This window comes from Homo sapiens, chromosome 2 (assembly GCF_000001405.40).
Source record: "Homo sapiens chromosome 2, GRCh38.p14 Primary Assembly".
NCBI classification, from domain to species: Eukaryota; Metazoa; Chordata; class Mammalia; order Primates; family Hominidae; genus Homo; species Homo sapiens.
Genome location: NC_000002.12, coordinates 240,518,104 through 240,530,482, shown reverse-complemented (window position 1 = coordinate 240,530,482; position 12,379 = coordinate 240,518,104). Strand labels below are relative to the sequence as shown.

Below are 12,379 nucleotides of genomic sequence, written 5' to 3'. Positions count from 1 at the left end.
GGGAGCAGGAGCAAGTGGGGGAGGAGGTGCCACATGCTTTTAAACAAGCAGATCTCGTGAGAATGCCCTATCAGGAGGGCAGCACCAAGGGCACGGTGCTGAACCGTTCATGAAGGACACACCCCTGTGACCCAGTCACCTCCCACCAGGCCCCACTGCAACACTGGGGAGTACAATTTGACATGGGATTTGGGTGGGTTGGGATTTGGGTGGGGACAATGCCATCTCAGGAAGATGCGCCTCCCCTGGGCAGCAGGCCCCTGACTGTGCTCCCTCCCCTGGGCACCTGGCAGTGGCCGCTCACTGGTTGTTTTGTGAGGCCCTCCTGGATGCTTTCTTCCTCTCTTGCACTGTGGCCTCCACTGCCTACAGGCAAAGGCGTGGGAGCTGCTGGGTTCCTGGAAGCAAGGATTGGCTCCCCTTCTTCCTCTGTCCCCCTCTTTCTCCTTCCCTTTGCTCCTCCCCTCCTCCCTTTGGCCTCCTCTCCTGCTCTTCCCTCCTTCCTCTTCCTCCTCCTCCTCTTCCTTTCCTCTATCTCCTCCTCCTTCTCCTGCCCCTTGTTGGGTCATACCTGACCTGCTGCCTGCATACTTCCTCCCCACCCACTGCTGCCCCAGCCTGTTGGGGTGTTTGGGCTGGGTTCCCTAATTGAACCCAGACCTGGTACCTCTGACACGCTTTCACCATGAGACTTCCATCATGTCCTCACCTCAGAGGCCACTGAGACCTCCCTGGCTGCCCCCTTGCCCCTCCATGCACTCTCTGGAGTGCCCTCCTTCCTGTTCCTCGGGAGAGCTGGTCCGCCTCGGTCCCTGGGCGGCACAGCCTAAGCCTCCAGAGATGTTTACTGGCTGAATGCATGCATTTCTTGGGAAAGTTTTCTTTTTTGGGATTTCTTTTGACGTTACAAACATGATCACATGTGCAGCTGGGTCGCGTTATCTCTCCTCGGTCTATTGCGCTTCCTTGGCAGGGGCTATACAAAGCGGACCAGCGGTTTGGGCCAGGTGTCGAGACCTACCCCGATGGCAGCCAGGACGTGGGGCTGTGGTTCCGAGAGCAGCTCATCAAGCTGTGCACCCAGATCCCCAGTGGCTTCTCCCTCCTCAGATACCCTGAGTTCTCCAGCTTCATCACCCACAGCCCTGCCAGGATCAGCCTCTCAGAAGAGGAGAAAACGGAGTGGGGACTGCAGGAGGGACAGGATCCCTTTTTCTATGACTATAAGCGGTTTCTTCTGAATGACAACCTAACGCTGCCTCCAGAAATGTATGTCTACTCGACCAACAGTGACCACCTGCCCATGACAAGCTCTTTCCGCAAAGAGCTGGACGCCCGCATCTTCCTCAATGAAATTCCTCCGTTCGTTGAGGATGGAGAACCATGGTTCATAATCAATGAGACCCCTTTGTTGGTCAAAATCCAGAAGCAAACTTACAAGTTCAGGTGACTAGTCTGCTACTGCTCCTCCCCTAGGGCCGTGCACTGTGCAGGCTGCCCTAGGCAGGTTCCTGAGGTCCCCGGCCAGCTGCCACTGACAGTGCTCCCTCAGGGTGACCTAAACACACTCCTCCCATTAAGTGACTGATGTGGGCGATAATGAAGGGAGGGAAAGCCCCTGCTGACTCGAGCTGGGAGGCAGGCCGGGTCCTGGGGCCCTGGACGTCTGTGCAGGGGAATGAGGGTCTCAGGATCCCACCTGCCCACTCTTGGGGACAGGAGTGATCAGAAGGTGGTTTGGTGAACATGCAGCCAGGGGAGTCCCGAGGCTGGTGTAGAACCTGGTGGGGGGATGTGGCTGGGGAGAATCTCCTGAGCCCGTGGAGCTAATGGTGAGTCCTGGCCCTGGGCCCTGTGCGTTTCCCCTTGTGCAGGCCATAGCTAGTGCCCTGCCCCCACCGTTGCATCAGCGCCTAGGTGTTCTATGGGCCAAGTCTCCTCTCGGTTGACATGGAGAGCAGGGTTTGTTGTTACTGTTATATGGTGGTAAGGGATCTGCATGAGAGCTAAGGGTGGGAGCACAGGGCAGTAGTGGTGTTGGGGCCCAGGCAGGCCTTTGACTTGTCCAAGGATGGCGTGAAAAGATGCTCTGCTCTGTTGGTCTTCCAAAAACCCTCCTACCCTACCCAGAGCTCCAGAAAAGTCAGCCACTACCTAAGGAGAAGTGTTTAATTTTTTTGGGGGGGGGGTGGGGGCAGGCACAGAGTCTCACTCTGTCACCGAGGCTGGAGTGCCGTGGCGTGATCTTGGCTCACTGCAACCTCCGCCTCCTGGGTTCAAGCAGTTCTTTGCCTCAGCCTCCCGAGTAGCTGGGATTACAGGTGCCTGCCACCACGCCCAGCTAATTTTTGTATTTTTAGTAGAGACGGGGTTTCACCATATTGGCCAGGCTGGTCTTGAACTCCTGACCTCATGATCCACCCGCCTCAGCCTCCCAAAGTTTTGGGATTATAGGCGTGAGCCACCGTGCCCGGTTGAAGTGTTTAATTTTTAAAAGTTAAAATATTCAAGAACACTTTAATTCCTTTCCTAAATATTGACCTCAGATGTCACTAAACTGTTTCAGAATGCATATTTTCTGAGAATAAGTGGCTGCTTTTTCATTCATCAATCCATCCACCCACCCAATCACCCACCCACCTACCATCCATTCATCCATCAGCACACCCATGCAACATCCATTCTTTCAGGCATCTGTTCATCTACCCACACACCTACCTATTCATCTACCCATCCAGCCATCCATTCATCCATCAATTCATGCATGCAATATCCATTCATGCAGCCATCCATTCATCTACCTACCCACCTACCCATTTGTCCACCCACCCACCCGTCCAGTCATTCATCAGTCCACCCACTTAACATCCATTTATCCAGCCATCCACTCATCTACCCACCCACCTACCCATTAATTCACCCACTCACCCACCTTTCCATCCATTCATCCATCAGTATACTCACGCAACATTGATCCACCCACCAACCCCTTCATCCATCAGTCCACCCATGGAACATCCATTCATCCAGCCATCCATTCATCTACCCATCTACCTACTCATTCATCTACCTACCCACCCACCCATCCATTCATCCATCAGTCTACCCATGCAACATCCATTCATCCAACCATCCATTCATCCAACCATCCATTCATCTACCCACCTACCTACCCAGTCATCCACTCACCTACCCATCTATCCATCTATCAATCTATTCATGCATCTTTCATCCATCCACCCACCCATCCATTCATCCATCAATCCACCAATGCGGCACCCATTCATCCACCCACCCACTTATCCATCTATTCATCTACCCACCCACTTATCCATCTATTCATCCACCCACCCATCCATCCATCTTCCCACCCACCCATCCATTCATCCACCCACCCATCCATTCATCCATCAATTCACTCATGCAACATACATCCACCTACCCAACCATCCATCCATCCATCATGCAGACATCAACTGGGCTTGTAATTGTTGAAGACTGTTAGGTACAGAAGCATCTATAATGCACAGGTTCTCGATTGTGAAAAGGGGTTGTGTACACACCAGGAGGCATCAGTGTTGTGTGATGAGTAAGCCATGAGATAATGCATGTTGTCTACTCAGACAAAAATGGATGAGCAGAGGGTGGAATGTGGGTGTTGGTGCTGAGACTGGAACCACATGTATGTTGGTCTCCATCCTACCCAGGGCCTTTGCTGTTACAGCCCATTTCTTAGCAAACACCCAGATGAATCAGAGATGCATGGATGTACTCGCAGCCAGCACATTCCTGTCGGGACAGACATATAGCCCAAGCATCTTGACCTCCAGGTGGCATGTCTGCACCACCGTGTGCAACCTAGTGGATTGTGAGCAGCTGCGGGTGCAGCTGCCAGCACTCAGGGTACCTGAGGAGTGAACAGTGGGGGGCTGAGCCACAAGAGGGAGAGGCATTGGAGGGAGGTGGTCCAGCTGGACCCTTTCTCGTGGGAGGTGCAGAACCTGGTCTAGGACCACTGAAACTTGTTGTGTTGCCAGGAACAAGCCAGCTCACACCAGCTGGAACATGGGCGCCATCCTGGAGGGGAAGCGCAGTGGCTTTGCACCCTGTGGGCCCAAAGAGCAACTTTCCATGGAGATGATCCTAAAGGCTGAGGAAGGGAACCACGAATGGATTTGTAGGATCCTGAAGGACAACTTTGCTAGTGCTGACGTGGCGGACGCAAAGGGCTACACTGTGCTTGCTGCGGCTGCTGTAAGCCCCACACCCTCCCAGCTGGTGCCCGCAGGAGCTTAGCTGTGAGGGTCACACATGTGGGTGGCCCTCTGTGGCCCCCTCTGCAGGAGCAGAGCTGAGGTACATGGGGACACTGATTGTCCACACCTCCACCTCGCCGTTCAGCAGAAACCCACTCAGCTGAGTGTGACACTCGTGGTCCAGTGCAGAAGGGTTTGGGGCAGAGTGCCTGTTCCATTCCTCTGTCCCACACTTGTCCCTTTGCCAAGCTCCCGAATGAGCACTGGTTCCTGCCCTGCCATAGGGTGGCCTCATGAGGGCATCAGGACACCCAGTGACCCTTCCCACCCCTGAGGGCCAGGTGCATCATCCTGAGTCCTGCCTCATCTCCCTCCAGACTCACTGCCACAACGACATTGTCAACCTTCTCCTGGACTGTGGGGCCGACGTGAACAAGTGCTCAGATGAGGGTCTCACGGCACTCAGCATGTGTTTCCTCCTCCACTACCCCGCCCAGTCCTTCAAGCCCAATGTTGCTGAACGGACCATACCTGAGCCCCAGGTAAGCCCCCCGGTGGCCACTGCACCACCAACTGTCTCCTGTAGTCTTCTCTGTCTCTGTAAATGTCCACCAAGCCTCCTCCCTCCTGTGTGGACCAGGCTTGTACAGGGTGAGTTATAAGGCAGGGAGTGGGCAAGAGAGACAGAGCCTGGGCATCCCCTAAGGGACCCTGAGCAGATGCCAAGGTATGTGTGTTCTTTACTCATCTCCTGCATAGCAGCCTGGGGCCCCGAGACCTGCCCTGCCAGCACTGTGCAGGAAAGGGGTGCTGTGGAGGGAGAGTGGGCATCCATGACAATGCCCCCAAGGTGGGGCTGAGAATCTGCATGCCTAACCGTTTCCTGGCAGTACCGATGTTATTGAAACACCAGGGGTTCGGTCTCAGTCCTGCTGCTCACCACACAGAAAGCCAATCACTGAGATGCCAAGTATTGCCAAGGAAGAAGGCTTTAATCGGGTGCTGCAGCTGAGGAGCTGGAAGCTCAGTCTCAAGTCCATCTCCCTGACTGACTAACACTGGGAGTTTATGTAGCAGGAAAGAAATGTAACAATGTGTAAGAAAACAGGAACTAGGACAAGGCAAGGAGGCATCTGGTGTGGTGATCTTGTGGCTTGCAGTTGTCTGGTGCTTCCTGAAGGTCCTTTCCTGAGGAAGGAACTCAGATAAAACAAATACAGTTTTCAAGCTTTAACAGAAGAGTCGATTTCTATGTTTATCCAAAAACAACTGTCTGTGGGACTCTTGGGCTGGTTTCACTGATGCCACTGGTCCAGGGACCACACTTTGGGAACCATGGCTCAAAACACAAACAGATCCAGGGCAGTGCCATGTGACAGAAATAAAACGTGTAATTAAAATTTGGGAGGTAGCCACATGAAAAAGTAAAACAGGTGGAATTAATTTTAATAATATATTTAATTTAGCCTAATGTATTAAAAATCCTATCATTTTGGTGTGTGATCAATATAAGCAGCATCATTAAGGCATTTGCCTTCGTTTTCCAACCTCTCCTTCACTTCTAAGCACCTGGGTGCGGACAGGCCACATTTTGTGAGCTTAGCAGCCATGTATAGGGCCATGCAGCCTGAGGTGTGGCCTGGTCAGGTGCAGGCTTCTGTCCGATGCCTTCACAGGGGTGTTCTTTTCTCTTTGAGGGTTTGGGGAAAGCTGCCCTGGTCTTTTCAGCCTAGCTGCTTTGAAGACAGCTCTAGGCCACGGGCATTGGTCCTTGCTGAAGAAGGTCCTAGAATGAGGTTATCACTCCAATTTATTCTAATGACACTTTTTTGGTTCTTTCCAAAGGAACCTCCAAAATTCCCAGTTGTTCCAATCCTTTCATCATCATTTATGGACACAAACCTGGAGTCTCTGTACTATGAGGTGAACGTGCCTTCCCAGGGTAGCTATGAGCTGAGGCCACCGCCAGCACCACTGCTCCTGCCACGCGTCTCAGGCAGCCACGAGGGCGGCCACTTCCAGGACACCGGGCAGTGTGGGGGGTCCATAGACCACAGGAGCAGCTCTCTGAAGGGGGACTCCCCGTTGGTGAAGGGCAGCCTTGGCCATGTGGAAAGCGGGCTTGAGGACGTGTTGGGAAACACAGACCGGGGCAGTCTGTGCAGTGCTGAGACGAAATTTGAGTCCAACGTGTGTGTGTGCGACTTCTCCATCGAGCTCTCGCAGGCCATGCTGGAGAGAAGCGCCCAGTCCCACAGCTTGCTGAAGATGGCCTCGCCCTCACCGTGCACCAGCAGCTTCGACAAAGGGACCATGCGGAGGATGGCGCTGTCCATGATCGAGTAGGTCCTGGCACCAGCTGGTGGGGGTGGAGGGCCACCATCAGGGCTGAATCCTATGCTCAGCAGACCCACGTCTCTTCCCTGTGCCAGTGGGAGGCGTTGTGTCTGGAGATGTGTGTCTGAATGTGTGAGCATCCCTGTGTCGGTGGCTCCACGCCATGGCCAGCCCTGTGGGGGTGCCACGGTGACGGGCTGTTTTCAGTGCCACCCCAGCCCTGTGGGGGTGCCACGGTGACGGGCTGTTTTCAGTACCACGCCAGCCCTGCTTTGGCCTTTGGCACTGGCCTGAAGTGTCTCTGTGGGAGCCTCAGCAGGGGCCACTGTCAGGGGTCCTATCCTAGCCATAGTGCACGTGAGTGACACCTGCCTGGGCAGCTCTCACACCCCTGCTGTCCACCCTGTCTATACCAGTGTGTCTCAAAATGTGGTCTATGCACCCCCGGGGGTCCAAGACCCTTTCAGGGAGTCTGTGGGGTCAAAATGATTCTCTTGATAACCCTGAGACTCTGTTAGCCTTCTCCTTGTGTTGATGTTGGTGGATGGTATGAAGACAGGGCCGTGCAGACCACCAGCCCCCAGCGTGCAGGGCAGCAGTGCCCGGCCTGCTTGGGGGCATGGTATTCCTTCACCACGGTGTGCACTTGCGGGGATGCCTGTCTCACTGAAGAATGCCTTTGACAAAGCAGAAAAGCAATGACAAATTGCATTAAATCTTGCTCCTTGCGTACACACCCCTCGAATATTCTGGGTCGGAAAACATGGGAAGGACACTGATGTGTGTCTGCCACAGACCAAGGCACACCGCTTCCCCGCAAGAAGCGCTTCCCCCAGGGCCAGAGTAGCAACAGAATGCGGCATCTTCCCAACCTCCTGCCCCATTTTTGATTGGAAGAATGACCACTGGTATGTGGCTGTTCATTCTCCTGAACACAGCCTGCCACTTTAAGGAAAACATATGACACTATTTGTTGCTGGCGAAATTTACATTTTCAAGTGAATAGCAGAATTCTGGACACTTGCCACCACCACCAAGACCTTCATAGCTTCCCTTAACTTTGAGACATGGGTGTTCAGAGGTTTTTCACGTGAGATGGCGTTAGCAGCGCAGTTTTGTGATACTGCCTGAAGACATGCCGACAGTGCCCAGATCTCTTCTATTGGTGAGCCAGCTTTTCCCACACGGCCAAGTTCTGATGTTGAACCATTGCCAGGTGGGTGAAGATCCATTGACAGTGAGAGGTGGGCCCGTGGGCTTCAGTGCAGCCAGGCGCAGAAGGCTGGTTCATGAGTGTCCAGCTCCGCCAGGTAGCTAGCTCACCACCCCCAGCCTGGGTTCATGTAGTTCAAATAGGAAGACCACGATGATCAGAAAGGCTGCTCAAATACTCCTTCGTCCAGCCGCGTACCTGGGGGAGGCTGAATCTCCACTCACTTCCACCAAGGCTGTGCAGAGCAGATAGGGGAATCCAGCAAAGGTGGAAAACAGTGCCATCCTTCTCCCCAACTGGTTTTGTTTTGTAAAATAACTTTTTGTGACAGTGTTACTTATTAGTAACATGCAGTGGGTTTGTTATGGTTAACAAGTTGGTGAGCATTATTGAGAGGTGAAGCCAGCTGAGCTTCTGGGTTGGGTGGGGACTTGGAGAACTTTTGTGTCTAGCTAAAGGATTGTAAATGCACCAATCAATGCTCAGTGTCTAGCTAAAGGATTGTAAATGCACCAATCAGCACTCTGTAAAATTGACCAATCAGCGTTCTGTAAAATGGACCAATCAGTGGTCTGTAAAATGGACCAGTCAGCAGGATGTGGGCGGGGCCAAAAAAGGGAATAAAAGCTGGCCACCGCCAGGCTCCCCACCAGCCTGCAGCGACAACCTGCTTAGTTTCCTTTCTGTGCTGTGGAAGCTTTGTTCTTTCAGTCTTCACAATAAATCTTGCTGCTGCTCACTTTTTGGTCCGCATCACCTTTAAGAGATGTTAACACTTGCCAGTGAAGGTCCACAGCTTCATTCTTGAAGTCAGTGAGACCATGAACTCACCGGAAGGAAGAAATTCCAGACACACCATGTTTAAGAGCTGTAAAGGGGGGCCAGGCGCAGTGGCTCACTCCTGTAATCCCAGCACTTTGGGAGGCCGAGGCAGGTGGATCACGAGGTCAGGAGATGGAGACCATCCTGGCTAACACGGTGAAACCCCGTCTCTACTAAAAATACAAAAAATTAGCCAGGCGTGGTGGCGGGTGCCTGTAGTCCCGGCTACTTGGGAGGCTGAGGCAGGAGAATAACTTGAACCTGGGAGGCGGAGCTTGCAGTGAGTGGCATCGCGCCACTGCACTCCAGCCTGGGCGACAGGGCGAGACTGTCTCAAAAAAAAAAAAAAAAAAAAAAAAAAAAGCTGTAACACCGCGAGTTCCGCGACTTCATTCTTGAAGTCAGCGAGACCAACAACCCACCAGAAAGGCATAGATCCTGGACATGTTTTGACAGTTTTTGAGCTTTACATGGTAGCGGCAGACAAGGAGAGCCAGCACCCACGTCAACGCAGCTCCCTGGGCTTCCGAGTGGTCAGGGTCTGGAGACGGGTCTGGAGACTGGGCTGGAGGCTGCTGCTCAAGTGCTCAAGGACGATCTAGTTCCCGCGGCTCCGATTCTGTGCCTACTGCAGGGCCAGTGGGCTTGGCTCGATCCTACACCTGCCCTGCCCTCATGGTCATTCCCGCTGCCATCTGGGCCCCCTACCCCCAGTCCCCTCCTCCCTCAGCCCTGCGCGGCTGCACAACCCCCACCCACCTGGTCCCAGCCTCTCTTGAGGCCCAAGTTTTCTCTGGAGGCACAGTTTACTCCTGACCTGGCCAGCCTTTCAGTGACCCCTCAGAGGTGTGTGTGCGCCTGTGTGTTTGTGTCTTTGTGGTGTGAGTGGTGTGTGTGGTGTGTGTGTGGTTTGTGTGGTTGTGTGCTGTATGTGTAGTGTGGTTTGTGTGCTCTGGTGTGTGGTGTGCCGTGTGCGTACTGTGTGGTGTGCGCTGTGCTATGGTGTGTGCGCTCTGGTGTGGCTTGTGTGTGGGGTTGTGTGCTGTGTGTACTGTGTGGTGTGCTGTGGGTGTGGTTGTGAGTGTGCTGTGTGGTGTGCTGTGTGTGCCGTGTGTGTGCGCTCTGGTGTGGCTTGTGTGTAGTTGTGTGCTGTGTGGTGTGTCTGCGTGTGTGGGTGTGTGCTGTGTGTGTGATTGTGTAGTTGCGGCACACACATACTCCCTACGCGCCCCTCCCCAGCCTCCTCGCTGGCATGGCCCCGTTCTGGGCGCAGTGCAGGTGCCTGCCCTCCAGGGGCCCACGGGCGCACCGTCTTTTTCAGGCGGAGGAAGCGCTGGCGGACCATCAAGCTGCTGCTGCGCCGGGGCGCGGACCCCAACCTGTGCTGCGTGCCCATGCAGGTCCTGTTCCTTGCTGTGAAGGCCGGGGACGTGGATGGGGTGAGGCTGCTGCTGGAGCACGGGGCGAGGACCGACATCTGCTTTCCGCCGCAGGTAGGAGCCGCGGCGGGCGGGCGCCGGGACGAGCGCAGCAGACTCCCGGGCACTGGCCGGGAAGCTCCTCGCTCCACCTAGGCGCGGAAGAGAGGGGTGGGCTCTTGCAGGCGACCACCTGGGCTGTGAGTGATGACGGCGCGCCGCAGTGGGGGGTCCCACAGCCCGCTCTTTCACCCATGTCCCCAGACAGGATTTGGACACCGAGCTAGTTTTTAGAGTACTTCACGATCCGTGTGATTTTTTTCCCAGTGTTGAAGCAAACTAAGGGGAAGCGCATCCTGAAGGCCCCTTGGAAAGGGGAGACTTATATTCAGGAGGAGGCGGGCCTCCTTTCAACCCACGCTCAGCATCACAAGGACGCAGGCAGGAGAGGCAAAGGGTTTTGGTGCTGAGGTTTTATCTTTAGCTCAACAGATCCAGCCGCAAAATATTTAGCTGAGAAAAAATCTTCGAAGGGGAATCTGATTTTATATTTTTTTTCTTAAGAAGTGCCTTTCCCAGCGGACGGCTTCTTCCCTCTCTGAGGCCACACCCACCCGTGAGCAAGCGGCTTCACAGGGCATTTTGCTCTGGAATAAATTAGCCTGCTAGTTCTTCGAAGAAAGTTTAGTGTTTCTGCTGAGTTTCACTGGGGACTCAGGGCTTTATGGGCTTAGCTCGTTCAAACAACTCTCCTTTTCCCACCTGTCCCCCTGGGCAGTGTGTACCCCCGTGCTTGGCCCCAGATTCCTGCAGCCCTTCCCACAGCACAGCTGCTGGAAGGGCTTCCTTCCCGAATTTCCACTGCTCTGGAATGGAATCGGTCGCTGCCCATGACTGCTCCTCCTCTCAGAGGCGTCTGGGGTGAGGCCAGGCTTCTCTCGCAGCTCCGTCAGTCCATGAGGGCCTCGTTAGGTTCACAGGGGATGGGGCGAGATGGAAGTATGACAGCAAGCGTGGGCTCACTGCGGCGTTTCCTGTTCACTTTAACGTGACGTTATCTGTTGTATTTCATCCCTTTGCCTGAACCCTTGTTGTCATTCTTTCTCTTTGTATTTTGAAGGACCCTACAATCATTTCTCTAATTTAACATCTAGACCAACCCCATCACAATTTTCCGTTCAGTGCATCCACCCATCCACACTCAAGAAACCACTGCTGTCCACAGTGGCTGTGAAGATTCCAGATGGGTGACGAACTGGCACCAGGGCCACCTTTGGGTGCCCCCAGAACAGGGGGCCCATTATGCAGACCCATGATGGGCTTCTGTCCACTTGGCTGTGAAATTTATTTGTAGATTTTGTTTTTCTTCTCCGGTTGTGTAAACACTCGTCCATCGTTTCAGCACTTTACCTTCTTCACAGGGTGTTGATGGGGTGAGAGCTGATGGCTCTCTCTGGGCACCAGCCTTGCCAGTTGTCACTCAGGCGGCATTGAGTGTTTGAGGGCAGGCGGGTCTCACTGTCCAGGCCCCTTAGTGCACAGCCTTTCAGCTTGGAAATTAAACTTTTCTTCCAAGTGTAAGATTACACAGAAAACAGAATTTTTGGTTTAAGACTCAGGATAATTTCATACCTTTTTAGGTTTACTGATTGGACTCCGTCTTTGAAACTGATTAAGGTCACAACCTTTAAACTGGGCACGGACATCCTTCACTGTGTCACATGTTTATTCACCTGTTCATAGCTGATCAGGAATGTATTATTTACACATTTATCTTTCAAATAGAAAGTTTTTAAAAATTAAAATATTTGAGTGGGTTCAGAAATGAACATGTCACCAAAACGCCAGGGGTTCGGTCTAGATCCTGCTGCTTACTGCACAGAAAGCCAATCAGTGAGATGACAGGTACTGCCAGAGAAGAAGGCTTTAATTGGGTGCTGCACCAGGGAGAGCAGGAGATTGTTCTCAAACCCTGTCCTCAACCGACTAAAATTGGGGGTTTCATAGCAGGGAAGAAATATAACCACGTGTGGGAAAGCAGGAATTAGGAGGGCTAAGAAAAAAGAGTTGGTCAGCAAGAAGCTGGTGGTCCCAGAGGCAGGCATGATGGGTGAGGGGTCTAGGGTCTCACTGTCCAGATGCTGTGATCTAGTGAGTCTCTGTTCCTTGATACTATTTAGGAGGACTGCTGGTTGGTTTCCTGAGGAAGGAGCTCAGATAAGACAAATGTAACGTTCCCAAGTTTTAAAGAATGGAAGGGTCAATTTCTATGTTTATTTAAAAGAAACCATAGACATCAGTTCTATGGGACAATTGGGCCCGTTTCAACACCC

General features: G+C 53.2%; 1 protein-coding gene across 84 annotated transcripts in view, besides 1 other annotated feature; it reads left to right on the top strand.

Annotated features, from left to right (window-relative positions):
* Nucleotides 1-12,379, top strand: part of ANKMY1 (ankyrin repeat and MYND domain containing 1) — a 92,433-nt gene that overhangs the window by 30,582 nt on the left and 49,472 nt on the right. For 32 of the 84 annotated variants that reach the window (NR_171691.1, NR_171698.1, NR_171696.1 and 29 more), the window contains 3 exons: nucleotides 4,634-4,798; nucleotides 6,102-6,598; nucleotides 9,950-10,121. Coding sequence is in view for 71 of the 84 variants with exons in the window: in NM_001393464.1 (NP_001380393.1) it covers nucleotides 4,634-4,798; nucleotides 6,102-6,598; nucleotides 9,950-10,121 (834 nt within the window). In the remaining 13 variants the exon portion in view is untranslated. Of the gene's footprint in view, nucleotides 1-973; nucleotides 1,447-4,037; nucleotides 4,255-4,633; nucleotides 4,799-6,101; nucleotides 8,546-9,949; nucleotides 10,122-12,379 lie in introns of those variants that run through there. The other 52 variants (NR_148696.3, XM_047444658.1, XM_047444654.1 and 49 more) reach the window with 8 other exon arrangements.
* Nucleotides 1,704-2,205: an enhancer, noted in NCBI's record as "H3K4me1 hESC enhancer chr2:241467695-241468196 (GRCh37/hg19 assembly coordinates)". NCBI's record gives its function as "activates a minimal SCP1, AML or CMV promoter by ChIP-STARR-seq in primed H9 embryonic stem cells {active_cell/tissue: H9 hESC(primed)}" and the evidence as "EXISTENCE:reporter gene assay evidence [ECO:0000049][PMID:30033119]".